Here is a 22,348-nt window from a genome sequence, read left to right as displayed (position 1 = left end):
ATTTTTTGACATATGTGTAATCACCCTCTCTAAAGTGTATCCTGCCTTTTTAATTTAATATTGTATTGTCAGAAGTTTTCTCTTGTAACTAAAACTTCAAAAATATTTTTGTTGTTTCATTATAAGTATCAACATTTATTAACCATTCCCCTCCTATGGAATATGTAGGTGGTTTCTAATTTTTGCTCTTATAAATAATAAACATGTTTACATTTGTTATTACTTCATGAAGACATATTTCTATAGGTAAAATTATTATATTAAAGGGTACAAATATTTTTAAGACCCTTTCATGCATATTTCCAAACCATTTTTCAGAAGGTTGTGACTGCCAGTTTATACTGTAACTAGCAGTATGTGAGAGGCTGCCTCAGGAAACTCCCACCAGCATTTTAAAATCCTTACTAATTTAATGGGTGATAATTTTTTATTTGCATTTTCATGATTTGCTATTGTAAGATACATTGACTTTTTCCTATTGTGGGAAAAAAACCCACATAACATGAGACCTACCCCCTTAACAGATTATTAAGTGCACAGTACAGCATGTTAATTGTAAGAACATTGTTCTACAGCACATCTCTAGAACCTTTTCATCTTACGTGACTGAATCTTTATACCCATTGAACAGCAGCTCACCATTTCTCCTTCCCCTTGCCCCTGGCACCCACTATACTACTTTCTGCTTTGACGAGTTTGATTTTTTGAGATACTTCGTATAAGTAAATCATGTAGTCATTTGTCCTTCCATGACTAGTTTATTTTACATAGCATAATGGCCTCCAGATTTACCCATATGATAGCATATGACAGGATTTCCTTCTTTTAATGGCTGAATAATATTTCATTGTAAGCATATACATTTTCCTTATCCATTAATCTGTTAATAGACATTTAGATTGGCTCCTGTGAATAATGCTGCAATGAACATGAGAGTACAAACATCTCTTTGAGTTCCCGATTTTAATAGTTTTGGATAAATACATTGAATTAGAATTGCTGGATGATACGTTAGCTCTATTTTTAATTTTTTTAGGAACCCCTATACTGTTATCCATAGCAGCTACACCATTTTACATTCCCATCTACAATACACAAAGATTCAAATTTCTCCACATGCTTGCCAACGCTTGTTATTTTCTGCTTTGTTTTGTTATAGTGGCCATCCTAATAGATATGAGATGATATTTCATTGTGATTTTGATTTGCATTTCCTGATGATTAGTGACACTGGGTATCTTTTGCTATATCTGTTGGCAATTTCTATATCTTCTTTAATGAAGTGTCTATTTAAGTTCTTTGCCCATGTTTTCATTGGGTCATTTGTGTTTTTGTTTGTTTTGCTATTGAGTTGTAGGAGTTTCTTATGTATTTTGGGTAGTAACCTCTTATCAGATATATGTCTTGCAAATATTTTCTCCCATTCCATACCTATGTTTGGTATGCTTTTTCCCTCTCTTGCTGGTTTCCTTTGTTGTACAGAAGCTTTGTAGTTTTCTGCAGTCCCACTTGGCTATTTTTGCTTTTATTGACTGTGCTTTTGGTGTCATATCAAGGAATCATTGCCAAGACCAGTGCATGAAGACTTTCCCCTATGTTTTCTTCTCAGAGATTTATATTTTAGGTTTTATGTTCAAGTCTTTAATCTATTGAGTTTATTTCTGTGTATGATATAAAATAGGGGTCCAATTTTATTCTTTTTTATGTGGATCTTCAGTTTTCCCAATACCATTTGTTGAAGAGACTATACTTTCCCCATTTTGTAATTTTGGCACTCTTGTGGAAGATCAGTTGACCATATATGAATGGGTTTATTTCTGGGCTCTCTGTTTTGTTCCATTGATCTACATGTCTGTCTTTATGCCAGTATCATATTGTTTTGGTTACTGTAGCTTTGAATATGTTTTGAAATCAGGAAGTGTGAGGCCTCCAGGTTTCTTTTTCTTTCTCAAGATTGTTTTAACTTCTCCTTTGTGGTTCTATATCAATTTTTGATTCAGTTTTTCTATTTCTGTAAAAATTGCCGTTGGGATTTTGATAGGGATTGCATTGAATATGTAGCTTTGGTTAGTATGTACATGTTAACAATATTAAGTCTTCCAATCCATGAACATCGGATATTTTTCCATTTATTTATGTATCTTCAATTCCCTTCAGCAATATTTTGTGGTTTTTAGTGTACAAGTCTTTTACTTCCTTGGTTCATTCCTAAGTATTTTATCCTTTTTGATGCTATTGTAAATGGGATTGTTTTTCTATTTTCTTTTTTGGATTGTTTGTTGTTAGTGTAGAGAAATGCAAATGATTTTTGTATGTTGATTTTTGTGTCTTGCAACTTTACTGAATTCATTTATTAGTTGTAACAGTTATTTTCTGAAGTCTTTAGGGTTTGCCATGTATAAAATCATGTTACCTGAGAACAGAGCTAATTTATTAACAGAGACCTTTTATATCTTTTTTTTGCCTAAATGTTCTGGCTGAGAGTTTCAGTACAATGTTAAATAGAAATAGCGAGAGTGGGCATCCTTGCCTTGTTTATGACCTTAGAGGAAAAGCTTGTAGTTTTTCATCATTGAGTATTATGTTAGCTGTGGACTTTCCATATGCTGCCTTTAATATGTTAAGAGAATTTCCTTTTATTCCTATTTTGTTGAGTGTATTTACTATGAAAGGGTGCTGAATTTTTTCAAATGCTTGTTCTGTATCTATTAAAATGATCATGTGATTTTTTCAAATGCTTGTTCTGTATCTATTAAGATGATCATGTGATTTTCATCCTTCTATTAATATCACATTGACTGATTTTCATATGTTGAACCATCCTTGCATCTCAGGGACAAATCATACTTCATCACACACCACTGCACTCCAGCCTGGGTGACAAAGTGAGACCCTGTTTCAAAAAACAAAGAAAAAAAAAGAAAAGGAAAGGAAAAAAAGAGAGAGAGAGTTGGGGGGGAGGAGGTGCCACACACATTTTTTTTCTTTTTTTTTTCTTTTTTTCTTTTTCTTTTTTGTTTTTTTTTGAGATGGAGTCTCGCTCTGTCTCCCAGGCTGGAGTGCAGTGGTGCGATCTCAGCTCACTGCAACCTCCACCTCCCAGATTCAAGAGATTTTCCTGCCTCCGCCTCCCAAGTAGCTGGGACTACAGGCACCCACCACCGTGCCCAACTAATTTTTATATTTTTAGTAGAGACAGGGTTTCACCATGTTGGCCAGGCTGTTCTCAAACTTCTGACCTCAAGTGATCCACCAGCCTCGGCCTCCCAAAGTGCTGGGATTACAGGCATGAGCCACTGCGCCCAGCCGAGGTGCCACACACTTTTAAATGAGCAGATCTCACGAGAATTCACTATCCAGAAGACAGCACCAAGCCATGAGGGCTCTGCCCCCATGATCCAAACACCTCCCACCAGGTCCCACCCTCAGCATTGGGGATTACAATTCAACACGAGATTTGGGCTGGGACAAATATCCAGACTATCTCATAGGGTACACACTGGCCTCACAAAATGAGTTTGCAAATGTTCCTTTGTCTTCAATTGTTTTTGGAAGGGTTTGAGAAGAACTGCCATTAGTTATTTTTTAAATGTTTGCAAGAATTCACGTGTGGAGCTATCTGATCCTGGACTTTTCTTTGCTGGGAGTTTTTTGATTACCAATTCTATCTCCTTACTAGTGACAGGTCTGTTCAGATTTTCTGTTTCTTCATGATTCAGTCTTGGTAGTTTACATTTCTAGAAATGTATCTATTTCTTCTAGGTTACCCACTTTGTTGATGTATAATTGTTCATAGTTGTCCCTTATAATCCTCTTTATTTCTGTGGCACCAGTTGCAATGTCTCCTCTTCCATTTCTGATTTTATCTGAATCTTTTTTCATTTGTTCTTTTCAAAAAACCAATTCTTAGTTTTGATTTTTTTTCTGTTGTTTTCCTATTCTCCATTTCATTTATTTCTGTTCTGACTTAATTATTCTCTTCCTCTTCCCAAGTTTGGGCTTAGTATGTTTTTCTTTTTCTGATTCCTTGAGGTATAGAATCAGGTTGCTTATTTGAGATCTGAGATCCTTCTTTTTTTTTTTTTTTTTTTTTTTTGAGACAGGGTCTCATTCTGTTACCCAGACTGGACTGCAGTGGCACAATCTTGGCTCACTGCAACTTCTGTCTCCCAGGCTCAAGCGATCCTCCCACCTCAGCCTCCTGAGTAGCTAGGACTATAGGTCTGTGCCACCACACCCAGCTAATTTTTTTATAGAGACAGGGTTTCACCATGTTGACCAGGCTGGTCTCCAACTCCTGAGCTCAAGAGATCCACCCACCTAGTGGATCCTCCCAAAGTGCTGGGTCTACAGGTATGACCCACCGCACCCGGCCCCTCCTTCTTTTTTAATGTAGGTATGTATTGCTATAAACTTCCCTCCTAGTACTGCATTTGCTAAATCCAATAAGTTTTAGTATGATAGTTTTCATTTCTGTTTGTCTCAAACTATTTTCTAATTTCCCTTATTTCTTCTTGACCGAATTGGTTGTTCCAGAGCATGTTGTTTAATTTCCACATATTTGAATTTTCCAACTTGCCTTCTGCTACTGACTTCTAGTTTCATCCCAATGTGGTCCAAAAAGATACTTGGTATTATTTCAATCTTCTTAAATGTGTTGACTTATTTTGTGACCTAACAGGTGATTGATCCTGAAGAAAGTTCTGTGTATCCTAGAAAAGAATGTGCATTCTGCTGCTGTTGGGTGGATGCATTTACTTTTTTTTTTTTTTTTTGAGATGGAGTCTCGTTCTTTCACCCAAGCTGGAGTGCAGTGGCACGATCTCGGCTCACTGCAACCTCTGCCTCCCAGATTCAAGCGATTCTCCGGCCTCAGCCTCCCAAGTAGCTGGGATTACAAGCACACACCACCACGCCTGGCTAATTTTTGTATTTTTAATAGAGACGGAGTTTCACCATGTTGGCCAGGCTGGTCTTGAACTCCTGACCTCAGGTGAGCTGCCCACCTCAGCCTTCCAAAGTGCTAGGATTACAGGCATGAGCCACCACACCCGGCCTGCATTCACTTTTTAAAACAAAAATGGTTGAGCTCGTAGTTAATAAAATCTTGGATTTTTGTCAGATGAATTGCTTTTAAGAAGGGTCTACCTTATCAGAACCTGTGCAACTAAATTACTGAATCTAAGTGAAATATTAAATATTTATTTCTATCTTATTTCCAAATTGTTAGTTTCAGTCAATTCAATGAATTTTTTCTCATTCTGCTAAAGAGCTTTTAATTATTTCAATAAGTAGTACATATAGATGGTAAGCAATGACAGTAGTACCAAAGGGTAAAAAATGTCTTAAACCTACTATTCTCCTCCCTGGTGGAAACCACCATTCCCAGTTTCTTGTGTATTTTTCCAGCATTATCCTCTGTGTATGTATATGATTGTGCAAATAATATTTAAGAAAATATACAGAAATGGCAGCACACTATATATACTACTATGCTAACTTTTTTCACTTAACACAGAGACCAGGAAAAGACTCTTAAAGGAGGCCTTTGAGCAGATGAATGAATGACGACAGAGTCACCTGTGCAAGATATGAAGGAACGGTGATATTCCATACAGAAGGCACAGCAAGTACAAATGCCCTAAGATGGGAATGAGCTTGGCATATATTAGGAACAGAAAGAAACCCATGCTACTGGAGCTTACTGAATGAGCAGGAAAGACATATAAGAAAAGTTGAAGACGTAGATAGGAGTCAGATTATACTGGTAGATAGGAGTCAGATTATACTGGGCTTTCGGGTAATGATGGGAAAATCTGATTTGTTTCTCTTCAATATTGGAATTCTCTGGCGATTTGGGAATAGTTGTTGAAACAGTAAAAAATAAAATCATCTAACAATTTTACCTACATACATATCATGAGATACCATAAAATGCTTGGCTGAAATCAAGATACTCATTTTAAAAGCTGCGTAATAAATGATTTCTTAATAAAAGGATTCATTTTTACACTCTTAGCCAAAGGCCAGAATTATTGCAAACAGAGACAAACTTGTAACAGTGAGATGGTCCTGAAAGAGGGCCTCCCTACACTTGTTTAATAATGAGACAGGGACTCAAGTAAGAAGTTAACCTGAAGCCTGAGAACGGGATTCTAATAGAGTGGAGAGAGGCCTGGTATAGGAGTCAGAGACCTCAGTTTGACATTACTAAATTTCCTTTTGCCTGCCTCAGTTTTCCCACCTGTGAGGTAACACTTCCTGGCTATGTATCTCACAACATTTTTCAGAAAATCAAATGAGGTAATGCATGTGATGGTTATTTGCATACTGCATAGTATTAACATGTGTACAGTATTATTATTTTTGAATAAAACTACAGGAAGAATATTGTGTGAGGGAGAATGTAGAACTATTAAATAACACATCAGTAAATATGTGTTGAAAGCTTCCTGTACTTCGTATGTTCAGCCCTGTAATAATAAGCCAATGTGATAAATATTTATTTAGTATCTATTATTTTGAAGGCCTGGTGATACATACAGCAAGTGATACAGCAGCAAGTAAGACAGCAGGAAACCAGAATTCCCAGTGGTCACACTTTGGAGGTAAAATCCTGATCCCAGAATGAGGGACAGTGCAAAGCTATGCAATAGGGAGGGTGTGGAAATCTGGCTGGTAAAGTCCACATAATCTGTAGCTTTCCTGCTAGTTGTGAAATGTTCTAGTTGTGACAACTAGAATCTCAGAATTGAAATAAGAAATTGATCCAAATGAGAATGCTTTCTAAACTATAGAGTACTATACAGTAGCATGATTGTGAGAGAATACTAAAAGATCAGCTTATGTCAGGAAGCTGCCTCTAAAATTTTGATCTAATGTTTCAATCATCTTCAACTAGCCCGTGAGTATCCATTTGACCTTAACTTGGGTGCAATAAGGGCACTCATTTGATTCTTACCATTTTATTATTCTTTTAAATGCCGCCATTATCATTGCACATGTGAAGCAATCAGGTGTGTTTAGCTGCAAAATAAACACATGAAGCAGAGCCACCCAATCTCCATTACCACGTGCTAGTTCACGTGAAAAATCCAAGGGCACGTAGACACACAGCTCTGCCCAGATGGAACTGACCCCCACAGTCAACAATTAAGGTAGGAAAGTGCACCAGCTAGGAGGCAGAAGTTGTAACTATTCCCTTAAGATAAATAATAAGATAAAATGACATTTTTCATTTATTTCAAAAGCATTAAAGCCAAGGTTGCAGCTGAATCATAGCAATGGGAGAATTAAACACTTTAAGGCCCACAAAATCAAAACTGTTGATTTACAAAACATCCACCCGCCTGGTAAATGTAAGTTCCTATTAACCTTTTTCTTTGCTCAGTCACTGGTCAATTACACAAAGAGGTCTTCCCTCTTGTGTTCAGTTCTTGTGTTCTGATTGGCTAACGTCAATATGCCAGAAAGATCTGCTGTTGACCAAAAGCAAGCTACAAATACACAACAGAAAAGTCAGAAATCTTAACTAAGCTCCAACACTTACCATTTAAAGAAATATTCATTTATGAGAGAAAAGAACCCAATTTATTTCCTCTATGAAATGAACATTTTATTAAATGTGTCCTCTTCTACGTCTAGACCAATAGATGCTACAAGCTAGCTTTTTTTTTTTTTTTAGTCTTAAAAATTAAATCCCTTGCCCTCTCCTCTAGGCATTTTAAAATTTATAATCTTTCTGGCAATCATCTTTTGTAATAAAAAGTATGGATATTAAGTTGAAATGTCTATAGTTCTAAGCATACATTTTCATTCACAATTAGAGATGTTATTAAGCGGCTTTTGAGGATAATGATTGTATCAGTTATCTATTACTGCAAAACAAAATACTTTTGGGGTGGTTTGTAACTCAGTCATAGATTAAATAAGATAAACTACACTATCCCTTTATTTAACATAGTCTTTTTTTTTTTTTTTTTTTTTTTTTTGAGACAGTCTCACTCGGTCACCCAGACTAGAATTCAATGGAGTGATCTCAGCTCACTGCAACTTCCACCTCCCAGGTTCAAGTGATTCTCCTGCCTCAGCCTCCCAAGTAGCTGGGATTACAGGTGCACAGCACCGCGCCTGGCTAATTTTTGTATTTTTAGTAGAGATGAGCTTCCACCATGTTGGCCAGGTTGGTCTGACCTTCTGATCTCAGGCTATCCGCCCACCTCGGCCTCCCAAAGTGCTGTGATTACAGGCATGAGCCACCACACCCGACCTATTTAATATAGTCTTATTAAGCATTCTTGGTTGCAAGTATCAGAAACCCATTTAACCTATCTTAAAGATGAGGAATTTGTAACAAGTTTATGTAGGTAGTTTATGGAAAAGAAGGACAGGAAGTGCACTTGAGCTTCATCAAGGACAGAACCAGAAAATGGAAAATCTGACCAAGAACTAAGGTAGTTGATCTCTGTTTTCCTCTGAGACTGCATGGATTCTCTTTGTGTCTTTTTTTTCTTCCTCTTTTTCTTCTTTCTGTGTTTTCACTTTTATCTTCTCTCTGTGCAGTCATCTTTGTTTCTTTATGCACCTGTCAGAGGGGGGCCACCCTATAGCTCCCGCAGTTACATGTCCTTAGCTCATGTAACTAACAAAAACTGCTTAGCCACTCGCAATCCCAATTCCAGTTCTAAAGGCAAAGAATTTGATTGGTGTACCTTGGGCCAGGTGACAAGTCCTGGTCCCATCAGCTAAGGCTAAGGGTCAGTCAGGGGCATGAAGTTCAAACATAGCTACTATGGGAGCAATTTTTAGAGAAAAAAGGATGTGGGCTGGGAAACATCTTGAAACTGTCTACTACAACTATCATTCCAATGGAGAGAAAGTGGGAAGAATGGAGTGTAAACAAAAAATGTTATAGAGCTATATTTAGCACTATGTGTGGGATAAAAATGGGAGAGCATAGCCAAAGAAGACACATTAATGGAAGTAAAGAATGGTGAAGGATTAGATCAAGAAGATTAAAATATAGGAGAGTAATTTGAATTGGAAGGAGAGAGGTCTTGTTGAAGATTTTGAGATGGGAGGTGATGATGTCAAAACAACAGGAACAAAATCGACATTCATGCATTTAAAATAATTATTCAGTGAGTGTCTACTCTGTGCCAGGCCTAGTGCTGGGCTCTGGGATTAGTTTAGTCATATACTCTAGCGCCTCTGAAGGGTCTTCACTGCCTGGAGGGTTGCTAAGGGACTCTACTCCTGGATGCTATTAAGGGGAATGGCAACAGAGTCAGAACAATTCAGTGACCACAAAAAGGCAAACCAGAGAGGACATCACCTTGAGTGTAAATTTCCCTTTTTATTCTCTAGTTTTCTCCACCTGTAATTGATAATAAAGTATGTGTAACATTATACTTCCTTCCCAGAGGCATGAGAAATGCAAAGCTTGGTTTTATTGCAGAATGTTATAAAAGAACCAGTGTCAAACAGGAACCTGTGTTCCTTTTAACTTTGCAGCTCATCACCATAGAGCCTTCAACAAGTCTTCAGTTCTCTGTGCCTTATTCTTGAAGTTCAGTAGGTAATAGTAGCATCATTAACACTGACTGAATGTTTATTATGTACCAGGTGCTATAGTACAGACTTTACACAAATAATATATCTAATCCTCACAAGAACTGAATGAGGTAGGCCCTATTAGCATCACATCCTCATTACCTAGATAAAGAAATTGAAGCATAGAGAATTTAAGTGCCTTGTTCAAAGCTCTACAGCTAGTAAGTGGTAGGAGCTGGGCTTTAGACTCAAAATACCTGGTTCCAGAATCCACACCTTTTAACAATATGCTATGACATTAACTACTTCTTAAAATTTTACTTTACACCTATTGGTGATATTATCTTAATGTCCTTTTATATGCCTATCATGCACATCAGTTTGTGTCACACATGCACTTCTAGCATCGAGGACCATTTAGCTAACTAGATGTACCTTTCTGTCCCAAAGTAACTAAAAGCACAGGGCCAGAGATACCTATTCACAAGGTATTATAAACAGAGGAATCACAGACTGTGCCAGTCAACCCTCCAGTAAGAGCTCCAGGCTCCTTTTTTGTTTTTTGGGTTTTTGTTTTGTTTTGCTTTTTGAGACAGGGTCTCACTCTGTTGCCTAGGCACTGGAGTACAGTGGCACGATCTCAGCTCACTGCAGCCTCGATCTCCTGGGCTCAAGCAATCCTCCCGCCTCAGCCTCCCAAGTAACTGGGGCTATTGGCGTGGCTGATTTTTGTATTTTTTATAGAGATGGGATTTTGCCGTGTCGCTCAGGCTGGTCTCAAACTCCTGGACTCAAGGGATCTGCCCCCCTTGGCCTCCTGAACTGCTGGGATTGCAGGCATGGGCCACTGCACCTGGCTAACTTCAAGCCCTTGAGGCCAGTTGATGTACCCAAAGCGCTCGCTGAGCAAACAAGAGAGCTGTTTCTCTCTGGGTGGGGGCCAGTGTTTAAAGGCTCAATCTCTGCTCACTGCTCTGCTGCCTCAGCACCATGTGCATGTGTGTGCGCACGTGCACACACACACACACACTCTCACACTCACACTCACACTCACTCACTCTCAGTGGAAAAGGCATTCTGTGTCCTCACTGTCAAAAGCGACTGGCAGATCCAACTCCCCCACCAGATCACTTCTGGCCTAGCTATAGAGTAATTCTATTATGCATAGGGTGACTAAAAACCTTCTTTAACTTCAGGGCTCTTCTGACTCTGTACACTAAGCAAGAGTTTATGGCCTTGCCAAAGAACCATGCTGCTTGTTCAGGAACTGGGAAGGCATCCTAATCATCATCCTATCTGTTCTTAAGAGACCCTAGACTGGAATGGTCCAGTCACCTCTGAGCAACACAGGTTTGTCTGTTGTCTGCTGGTGAGTGTGTCCTCTGTAGCTGAGTCCATAGCCAGCTGCCGAGAGTGCCTACATCAGCATGGTTGAGGGAGAGATACAAACTTCTGGCTCCACGAAAGCAGGCCAACATGCACATAATGCTTTACAACACTGCTAACTCCAAATCTGCTCAAATTTCATTATCAAAAGGATCAATGTCAGTAACCTGAATATCAAATTATCAAGTTCCATTGCCTAATGTAAGTTGGCAGTCCTTAGCCTTTTTACATGAACTCTAGATAAGATGATGTTGTGGTGTGACGTCTTTTGAATCACAATAAACAGAGAGTCACTCGTGATACTTCAAGAAAAGGGAGATTTTGCTGTAAGTCTCCACCTGGATCAAAAAGAGGCCAGGGGCAGTGGCTCGCACCTGTAATCCCAGCACTTTGGGAGGCCGAGGCAGGAGGATCATGAGGTCAAGAGATTGAGACCATCCTTGCCAACATGGTGAAACCCTGTCTCCACTAAAAATACAAAAATTTATGGGCCTCGTGGCACACGCCTGTAGTCCCAGCTACTCGCGAGGCTGAGGCAGGAGAATTGCTTGAACCAGGGAGGCGGAGGTTGCAGCGAGCCAAGATCACACCACTGCATTCCAGCCTGGCGACACAGCGAGACTCCGTCTCAAAAAAAAAAAAAGAAAAGAAAAGAAAAAGAAACTGGGGCAGCTCCAGGGGCCAGTGGGCTGTCCAGTTATCAGCAGATGCTTGATTTCTAATATGTTCCTGCTCTCCACCTCCTCTCTATAGTCAGACTTGCTTTATTGGCTCATATTTGCAGAGCACACTGGAAATTAAATTCCTCTATGTTGTAACAAACGGTTCCGCTTCTGCTCCTAATAATGCTCTCTGAATTCCTTCTCTTGACATTTCTAAGTTCACATTCCTGAGAGAAGGAATCTGATTGGCTCAACACGTTTTTTTGGAACATCAAGTCAGAGGTTATAGGCTAGCCTTGAGCTGGGTTGTCCCTCCTGGTTCAATCAGCTATAATGGTGAGGAAGAGTCAAGTGGTAGAAAAAAATGGCTGCCGGCCGGGTGCGGTGGCTCACACCTGTAATCCCAGCACTTTGGGAGGCCAAGGCGGGCAGATCACCTGAGGTCAGGAGTTCAAGACTAGCCTGGCCAACATGGTGAAACCCCATCTCTACTAAAAATACAAAAATTAGCTGGGCGTGTTGGCAGTTGCCTGTAATCCCAGCTACTCGGGAGGCTGAAGCAGGAGAATAGCTTGAATCTGGGAGGCGGAGGTTGCAGTGAGCAGAGATCATGCCGTTGCACTCCAGCCTGGGTGACAAGTGGAATTCCGTCTCAAAAAAAAAAGAAAAAAGAAAAGAAAAGAAAAAATGGCTGACAATGATGCACTCTTTTTTTTTTTTTTTTCTTTCTTTCTTTCTTTTTTTTTTTTTTTTTGAGACAGAGTTTCACTTTTGTTGCCTAGGCTGGAGTGCAATGGTGCGATCTTGGCTCACCGCAACCTCCGCCTTCTGGGTTCAAGCAATCCTCCTGCCTCAGCCTCCAGAGTAGCTGGGATTACAGGCATGTGCCACCACGCCAGGCTACTTTTGAATTTTTGGTAGAGACAGGGTTTCTCCATGTTGGTCAAGCTGGTCTCGAACTGACCACCTCAGGTGATCTGCCCGCCTCAGCCTCCCAAAGTGCTGGGATTACAGGCGTGAGCCACCGCACCGCACGTGGCCGCCAATGATGCACTGTTGTGTGCACTCTCTGTCTCTGTCTCTCTCTCTTCTCTCAAGTGGAAATTGCTTCACTAGAAGCTGCTCTGGGCTAGCAGGCACTGTAAACATGTCTAGTGTAGGTGGGATATTTGGGGCAGAACTGAGAACTTGAGCCTGTTAATACCCTGTTACTAGGGTATTAACATTGTCTATTTTACATAATTACATTAAATTACAATGGGACCATTTAAAAATTTTTAAATAATCAAATATAGTCATTTCTAGGCAATCAATCAATATCATAATCTTTAAGATGTAAGCCTACCCATATTTTCCAAAGTTAATTCTTCAATAAATTTATGTATTGCCTTTGAAGAAAGCAGATTTTAAATGAGTAAATTATCAAAGAAAGGTTTGAGACTACTTACAATCTCTTTCATCTTCACAAACTTCAAAAGTATCCCCAGCTTTTCCAATCTTTTCCCTGGAGTTTGATTTCCACTTGCCCGCACCTCACTTTAATTTAGGCCAGATAGTCATTACAAATGAAACTACCAGAAGCAACAAGAAATGTTCAAAGGATTTACCCTTGTTGTTTGGCTTCTCACATAGAACCTACAAGGTCAACGTTTACAAAATTATCCTCTAAAGATAATTTTTGGAAAGGAAATAGCAGATTTGGAGATAAAGATGTATTTTAGCAATAAAAAGTAAAGTATTAGGTACAAAGTCTGTGAGGCTAATTTTTATCATTTTTATTTTCAATATTCTCATGACAAGTAATCTAATCAGAAATATCTCCCTCCAAAGTCAGATTTCCTTGATAATTTTGGAAGATTCTTGTTCTAGATATGTCCATCATCTTCCCTTGTCCAAACTCTCTTCTTAGAGAACTTTTCCTGCTAAGGACTCTGAAGGAATATGACTCATGCCCTTGGTAAATGGACCAAGAGTGGGCAAATGATCCAGTCAGGACCATTCAAATCCTCTTTCAGAAATTTCAGAAATTGAAACATAGAGATTGGGTAAATTGACATTTTAGGCTTAAGAGCCATAAGGTCGAATAGAATTAATATTAGGATTGGCTTTATAGCATCCCAAAGTTAAATGCAGCTGAAGCTACAGGGAAGCAGATCCTAAAAGACCTATAGAAGTTTGTTTCCATAGGGAAGATGGAGCTGACCTGCAGAGAGAAGTGAAGACAATAAACTGAGAAAGACCAAGAGGAATTATCCGCCTGAAGAAATTTAAGTTCCCACCTGTCCCCAGCTGTATCATTAGATTCATAGGATTTTTTGACAGTTACAATACATTTATCTTTACTTCAACTAGCTTGTGTGTTTGTTTTTCTTATAATGAGATTAAGATAATTCTGTTTTTATGTGCATATTTTTAATCTGGATGAATACTGCATTTAGTAATGCCTCAAAAAATAGAAAGGAATGGCCTCCACCCACTCTGGTGCTCTCTGAAGGAAATTGAAGGCAAGCACCAAAGCATGCATATCTTAAGTATTTGCAAAGAACAGCAGTTTCATCCAGAATGGGATTTGATGAGTAACTTCTGTGACCAAGATGGAACTTAATAGAAAAGCTTTTCCTCGTAAGATGGATGGTTCAGTAACTGCAGTCACTCAGCAAATTATAGTAAGCGTCCACTGCATGTGCTAGGCACTGCGTGAGCAGTTCTGCAGCCCTCAAGGAGATTAGGTAAGTTCTAAGTAAGGTTCCCAGTAGGACAATGAGTAAATCACAGCTACTAGGTAATACACTCCAGCCCACTGAATGCTAAGGATGATTTCAAAAGGAAAGCACTGGGCCGGAGAGTTGAAGGGTTTGAGCCACACATAAAAAATTCAGCCCTTTCTTCCTTAAATTTCTCTGACATGGATTCCAAGTTTAAACAAATTCCTGTAAGCAAGTTTCTGAGACAATTCTGAACAAGTCGACAAAGATTTACTAAAATCTTACCATGTGCTAGGCAGTGAGCCTACACTAAGATGAAAAGGGCTTGGCACCTTGTCAAGGAGTTTTTGTGTTAGAAAGTGAACTAAGATAAACACATCCAAACGGCTTTTGAATCCTGATAAGAGATATCATTCACTCACTAGCTTCCTATGTGTATTGATGCCTGAATATTGCATTGGTGAATTCTGTACCTATCTAAAACCTTTGTGACTCTACCTGATCTCCCGTCATTAAATTCTATCCCATTAGGAACAGATGTGATTCCAAATAATGTCATTATAGCTTCCTAAGAGTAAAAATAACTGAAAACCCTCAACTTTCTCTCTGGACAAAGTCTAGGGAAGTCCACTGAATCTTAGCCTTGGAAAGCACAGTGTCAGACTTGAAGCAATGATAGATTTGGTGCCATTTTTGTCGTTGAAGAAAAGGACAAGCAGTATAACCCTCTGAGTCCACAGGTCATGAGCAAGTTAAAACATCAGTTGTCAGCCCAGGAAGCAAGTTGAAAGAGAGCTCTCTGGCGCAAGAGCTGAAGCTGTCAGTCACATTAACGGAATAAAAAGAGTGTACAAATATCCCTGGATTCCCAAATCAAATTGTCTCTTTCTTCCATGATAGATCAAGGAACTTTCTCAGAATCAGTTAAGGACCCAGCACAGCTGGGATTAGAGACTTACAGGAAGAAGCACGAGATCAGAAAATATTTAGACAGCATCTTGCAGATGCACAGTCCTGCCTAAGTGCTTCATAATCATAATGTTATGGTTGAGTGTCTATCAAATTATAGCTGAAGACAAAGCAAAGCACAGACCTTTTCAGAGCAGTTACTGCTTACTTAATGGTCTGATAGGGCAAAGGATACATTCTTGGAAATGTCAGGTATTCAGTAAGTCATAGTCTTAGAAAGAGAAAAAAGACAGTCCTTCCAGAATTCAGGCTTATTACCTAAGATAAAAGTCACAGTTCACGCCCAGCAGGAATTTACGAAGACAAACACAAATGTTGCACTATTAGTCCCCAAAGCTCCATAATCAAACAAGGGATTTCAGCTGCTCCGAATCATCCAGCCACATTCCTAAAATGCCATGTTATCAAGACTCGAAAGATTCCATAGTGAATTAATGTGAGCTAGGATTCAAGTGGACCCTGACACAAAAACCCTCAAGAGGAGGCAGACTGTAGCTATGGAAAGGGGAAAGAGCAGGTAGATTGAAGTCAGATGGATCTGACTTTAGATCTCAGGGCCAACATTTGACAGCTCTGTTCTTTGCTCAAGTTACTTAACATCTCTGAGCCTCAAGTCTGTCTTCTGTAAAATGACAGTAATAATACCTACCTCACAGGGTTACGGGGAGAATTAAGAAAGGTAATGTGTGATGCATAATACCTGACATGTGGTGGATAATCAATAAAGATCTGTCCCCTTTCCCTAGTATAGCCTAGAAGTAAATGTCACTTTATAGTTTGTGTTTCCTTATACTTAAGGTATCTTCATTGGACTGGAGAGGCACTATGGAGGAGTTAAAGCATACAGCAAATGGAACTGAATTGCCTGAGCTTGAAGCCTGGTTTCACTGCTCTCTAGCTGTATAACTGGGCTAGTTACTTAGCCTGTTTGTATCCCAGTTTCCACCGAGGCTGAATTGAATGAATATAGGTGAATGGTGTGGAACAGTGTCCAGCACATAGTGAGCACTGTAAGATTTAGTTACTATCATTATTACCATTGTTGTTACCTGCATCCTGGGTAAAATATATATGTGTCACCTGAAGCAATAACTCCCATCTCACGTTTATCTTTTACAGTGTGACCTGCCGCTTCTCCATCAACAGGTGGTGTCCCCTCACCTTGAATCTGCGTGGGCTTTTCACACCTTTGTTCAATACAGCATGGTGGAAGTAACTCTATGAGTTACAACACAACATTCAGCTTCTATCTGGTCTACCAGAACACATGCATTTGGAGCCCTGAGGCCACCATGCTTGTGAGGAGGCTGAGCCACATGGGGAGGCCACATGGAGGTGCTCTGGTCAGCAGCCCTACTCTACAAGCCACCTTTTTATCCCAGGTATGAGAGTGAAGCAGCCTCCAGGTATGAGGATTCCAGCCCCCAGCCGCTGAGTCACTCTCAGCTTTTAAGCCTTTCCATCTGAGAACTCAGATGTCCCAGAGCAGAATGAACACATCCTTTTTGTGCCCTATCCAAATTCCTGACCCACAGAATCTATGAGCTTATTAAAATGGTGGTTGTTTTAAGCTGCTATATCTTGGGAGAGTTTGTTGTTGGCAGTAGTATCTGGAACACTTTCTTTCAAGCAGAAAGGTACATTATTTGAACTTTCCTGGAGTTAACATGTGAAAAAAAATTATTTTTTGATGAACAAGAAATATGGCCCCCTTCATAATTATTCATGGGAATAACTTGAAAAGTAGGCATTTTAAATTATATTTTTCTTATATGAGTTGATGGGCAGGGCCCAGAACTGGTGTTTATATATTACGTGTCAAAAAGGCTTGCATGGTTCTCCTCTTCCAACATGTATACAGTTATCCATTACTTTTCTAGAATTGGAGTTCCCAAGAAGAAATTTTTTTTTTTTGTAACTGGAGCAACAAAAGTCTCTCTGGTGTTTCCCAACTCTGAAATAGAAATCATTTAGAAGTGTTCAGAGAGCCATATTCCATTATCGCTGGGCATGTTAAATAGCTAGTGGTCTCAGATTCAGAATTATTCATAGCAGTTTATTAAAGTGGTAAAAGGGTCTCTACTGATTTGTATTTCTATATGTATTCAAATCCCTCTTAGTAAGCTCGGCCACTCTCATCACAGTATCACTGTGGAGAGACCCATCTTATGTTTATAAAAAGGGAAAAATTGTGGCTAGGTATGCAAGACACCCAAAACAGGGTTTGCTCTGTGTTAATTAAGAACACGGAATTCCATTTCATAAGGGAAGATTTCCTGAAAACAACCATCTGTCGTGTGTGTGTGTGTGTGTGTGTGTGTGTGTGTGTGTGTGTGTTTTAAGCGATCCTGATTTCAAACCAGAAGTTCTAGTAAAAGCTGACCTGAAACATTTCCATATGTCAGCTTTCACTACCTTCTCACGGGCAGATCTATTCTGTCTGATCAGTGTTTTAGAGGACACGGGAGCAACGGTGCTAAGCAGTGACAGATTGTCCCTGTCACATGGTCTGAAAATTCCCTGGTCTCAGTTTTTAGGTTTTTGAGCCCTTCTTTCTTAGAAAAAGACTTCTTTTTACCAGGTTCCCTCTCCACTTCTCTCTCCTGTGCAAACAGCTTACCCCTGTCACCCTCCAGGCGTTCTACAGCACGGGCTTTGCAGTTAGACACCTGGATTTATTTAATTCTTGGATTCTCTACGTACCAGCAATATGCCTTTGGGCAAATTGCCTAAATTCTCTGATCATCATTTCTTAACCTGAACAGAGGAGGCAATGATCTCCCTAACTTGCAAGATTCTTGTGAGAATTAAAGAAATAATGCCTCCTCAGCACCTAGAACAGTGCTTAGAATGTTCACTACCCATTAGCTATTCTTTAGAATAAATGAATGTATAGCATAGATCTTAGAACAGGCAAGAGCTTTAGAGTCCAGGCCCCGCTTTCTAAAATGACCTCTGGGGCCAGGCACAGTGATTCACTCCTGTAATCCCAGCATTTTGGGAGGCCAAGGCAGACAGATCACTTGAGGCTAGGAGTTCAAGACCAGCCTGAGCAATATGGTGAAACCCCATCTCTACAAAAAAATAATAAAAATTAGCCGGTCATGGTGGTACATGCCTGTAACCCCAGCTACTCAGGAAGCTGAGGTGGGAAGATCAGGATCTGCTTGAGCCCAGGCTGCTGAGGCTGCAGTGAGCCAAGATTGTGCCACTGCACTCCAGCCTGGGTGACAGAGTGAGACCCTGTCTCTCAATCAATCAATCAATCAAATGCCCTTTGGACTTCAAAGTTATTCTAGGAGTGTTAGAAATAGGCAGAGGTGTCAAAGCCAATAAAAACAACTCCAGAGGGCACCTAAGGCTCTGCTGACGAACTTTGCAGGGGGCAGGCTCCTAATGGGATCGTGCATTCCTGGTTCAATAGTGCTTTGTGTTCATTGCAGCTCCTAACAGGATTATGGCATGAGAACGGGTGGTCTATTAGAGAGCATCCTACTACAGGCTCAAGAACCAGACACACCCTTGCTTTCTGTTCATCACAGTGAGGAACTCCCCTGACAATATATAAATTATGTGAAGATGCAGTCCCACCTGCCACAGGGGTTGGCTACCTGATTCAAATGTACGCTTGTTCTTCAGGGAGACCAGTGTCTCTCATTTTACATTTAAGTAACAGATCAACCTTATGGTACAGGTGGCAGAAGTGTGACAAAGAGGCACTCAAGTGACTTTCTGTTGCCATGACAGGAGCAATTATCAGATCCTTGGGAATGAAGGTAAGGAAGGTGAAGTTTGTTTTTAACTTTTCATTCCCCCTGCCCAACCTCTCTTTCAGTGCCAGGACAGTGGTCCCAACTTCTCTCAGGATCCTGAATGTATCACCAGGGGTACTCCACTTTCATCTCCCCTCCTCCAAATATCCTAAGCTCCAAGACAGCTCTCCTTTAGTTAGCAGAGCATCACCCTTGCTATGCTTTGTACAAATCTGTTATTAGGTTAGACTAATTCATAGTAAGCTATGATGATCCATATGTCTTGAGGCTTAGAAATCCAGTGCAGTGGGTTGGTTGTGCCCCCCCTCACAAAATGTGTTAAAGTTCTAGCCCTCAGTACCTATGCATGTGATCTTATTTGGAAAAAGAATTTCTGCAGATATAATTAAGTGAAGGATCTTGAGATCATTCTGGATTAGTTGGGTGAGCCCTAAATCAAATGACAAGTGTCCTTATAAGAAGAGGAGAAGACAGGGATTGGAGTGATGCAGCCACAAGCTAAGGAAATGCTGGAGCCACCAGAGGCTGGAAGAGGCAAGGAAGGACTCTCCTCTAGAGACTTTGGAGAGAGCATGGCCCCGCCAACATCTTGATTATGGACATCTGGCCTCTAGAATTGTGAGAGAATACATTTCTGTTGTTCAAAACCACCCAGTTTGTGATAATTTGTCAGGGCAGCCACAGGACATAAATACACTCAGAAATCCCAACCACCACAACCCCAGCCCCTCACTCCAAAATGGACTTTCCCATACATTATTTCAATGCCACTTTCTAAGAAGGGCAGAAGTAGATTCCTGATCTCATCTTGACCAATGGAGAGCCTGAAGTTCAGAAAGGTTCAGTCACTTCCCCCTGACACAGAGCTAAGACTCAAAACAGTTCTCTGCCTTTCTCTTCTGCCAGTTTCTCTAAGGAATTACTGTTGTTGCTTTTATTTTTAAAGAGGATCCTATAGTCCCAAATGCATATTTAACTGGTAAAGAACTTTTTTCTCATTCCTCCTCCTTCCCTTACTCTGTTACTTTGTTTCCAGAGCTGAAGGCCCTAAAGTCTCAGCTTTTCCACCTTTGCTGACTTCAGAGAGAAGGGGGAAGGAGGCAAGGCTGCATGAAGTAATATCAAATATGAAAAAGTAAATATTTACAGTTTTTCTACTTCTTTTGCATGCCCCTTTGTGAGGGCTCAACTCATACCACGTCCCAGCCCTTCTCTAATTTGTGAACAAACACTTTGGCAGCACTAATTCCATCATCATCATCTGTGCTTACTAATATTTTTAATTAAATGATATCACCAAATTTTGGTCACAGCTCCCCGTCCTCTAATTTTCAATAGCAATTATCCTTCTGGTTATATATTTCAATATGTTCCAGAAACATTTTCTTTCTGGTAGATTCATTGGGGGGAGTCCCCCCTTGCATTTTTCCATAGAAATCAGAAGCTGATCAGCTGATCCCCTCATATTAATAATTTACTGAGGCTCCAGGCAGCTAAGCTATCAGCAACAACCTATCACTTTTTTGCTTCCTGTCTTGGGAATTGCTCAAGCGTTCCAGTATCTTTGTAAGGCTGAGAGGTGCTGAAGTTGGCACATACGTATTGAGTGGCTCCCCTCTATAGAGCACTGTACTCCAGTTGCTATAGAAATAAGTTAAAGCATCTAACTCTGGATTCTTGTGTCTCACGTATTCAAATTTAGATGAACTATGACGTGGCTACAAAAAAAAATATGCCAGCTTCCATGAGATAGAAATGCAAATCTGCCACATCATTTGGCTCCTTAAACTGATAAAGCAGTCATGGAAAGACAAAGGAGGTCATTTATCTGTTCCATTTTATTATCGTCCAGCTCGAGGGAGCTTCATTTATAGCGAAAACTTCCTGGGTACTTTTGCTCCCTTGAAACTTAATGGAGTGGGAGAGAAAGACAGAAGAGAGGGAGTTACAGCAGAGTGACATGGCACATTCTTCTAGTGTTTGAGATGACAAACTGCTTCTGTTTTTTAAAATTATATCACATAAAGAGAATCTACTTGGAGATTGGCCAAGACTGAGACTGCGAAGCCTGAGAGATAGTACAGGTGAGGGTAGTTCGAAATGTGTACCAAGATTCGAAGAAGAAAAAATTAGGGAACCACAACCAAGCACTGAGTATTGTGAAAGAAAGAGGGAAAATGCTCTATTTCTGATTGCCCTTCTTTTGAGCTAAAAAAGCCTTTCTTGAAAAGAAATTGAAAATCAATCCAGTACACAGACTACTCTTTACCTTTTGTTACTGTAAAGCATACGTTCAATGTAAAAGTGGTATTGCTGAAAATAAAGCCATTGAGAAAGGCTAAATAGGATGAGGAGAGAGGGAAGAGAAAAAAAAAAAACAGGAGAACATAAAAAGTTTTAGGTCTCATAAAAGTAAGTCTTTAAAATGGCGTTTTCCCCTTACACCAAAACAACTTAGAAACGTGCACTTAAGAAAACACTTGAATGAATCTTTCTTCAGCTGAATTTCAAATGCTGTGTTGCAATGTTTGAAGGAGAAATTGATTTACATGAGAACAGTAAAACAGGACTTATACATCACATTACCTCTCAGTGCTTTGCACCTTAGCATTTGCACCTTACGTTTATGGGTCCAGGATTTAGATACCCAAGGTTACCTACCTCAGCAAGGACAGTGCCCAAATATTACAATGTGCAGGGACTCTCTGAGAGTTTGGGGCCTGGAGATGTTAACTAAGGAGGTATAGAGACCATAACACTTATCTTTGCTTCCATTTTCTTTGAAGAAAAAGGATGATCATATGATTGATCTTGTAATTGCACAAGAGGAAGTGACAGCTAAGAGTTTGAAAGGGAAGTATGAGGAATTTAAGTTGATTGTTAAACAAAGAGAAGGTTTCACAAGAAACTGGAAATGTTATTCAAAAGACTTTCAGATGATGAAAGTCTTGGCTGTAGGCACCATCCTGGCAACCCCTGCCCAGTCACATAATTCTATAAACTATAGCGGCAGAGTAATGTAGCAGAAAGGTAATGGAGGATAGTGACTAAGTGATTTCCCTCTGGAATCAGATGGAGGTTCAAGTCTCAGCTCGACTACTTGACCGCTGATTAAGCCAAGCAAGTTATTTAGCCTCTCTGTGTTTTAGTTTCTTCAATTATACAATGGGGGACGATAAGTGTTTCCCACTTGGGCTCCAGTGAGAACTAAGTGGAGTAATGAATACTAATTGCTAAGCCTCATGTCTAGAACACAGTAGATATTCAATAAATATCAGCTCCTATTGTTGCTACCGTCATT

The 22,348-nt window shown here is 39.9% G+C and overlaps 1 long non-coding RNA gene across 2 annotated transcripts; it reads left to right on the top strand.

Annotated features, from left to right (window-relative positions):
* Positions 1-5,051: 5,051 nt before the first annotated feature.
* LOC105370513 (uncharacterized) lies at positions 5,052-19,075 on the top strand. 2 transcript variants are annotated; one of them, XR_943901.3, is made up of 3 exons: positions 5,052-6,608; positions 16,073-16,284; positions 16,394-16,851. It is a non-coding gene; the product is annotated as an uncharacterized LOC105370513 (long non-coding RNA). The 2 variants fall into 2 exon arrangements; XR_007064184.1 differs by lacking the exon at positions 5,052-6,608 and adding an exon at positions 18,969-19,075 and having other exon boundaries at positions 16,210-16,284; positions 16,394-16,656.
* Positions 19,076-22,348: the final 3,273 nt, after the last annotated feature.

This window comes from Homo sapiens, chromosome 14, assembly GCF_000001405.40.
Source record: "Homo sapiens chromosome 14, GRCh38.p14 Primary Assembly".
NCBI classification, from domain to species: Eukaryota; Metazoa; Chordata; class Mammalia; order Primates; family Hominidae; genus Homo; species Homo sapiens.
Note: the sequence above shows the minus strand (reverse complement) of the source record. Positions and strands in the feature narration are given on the sequence as shown.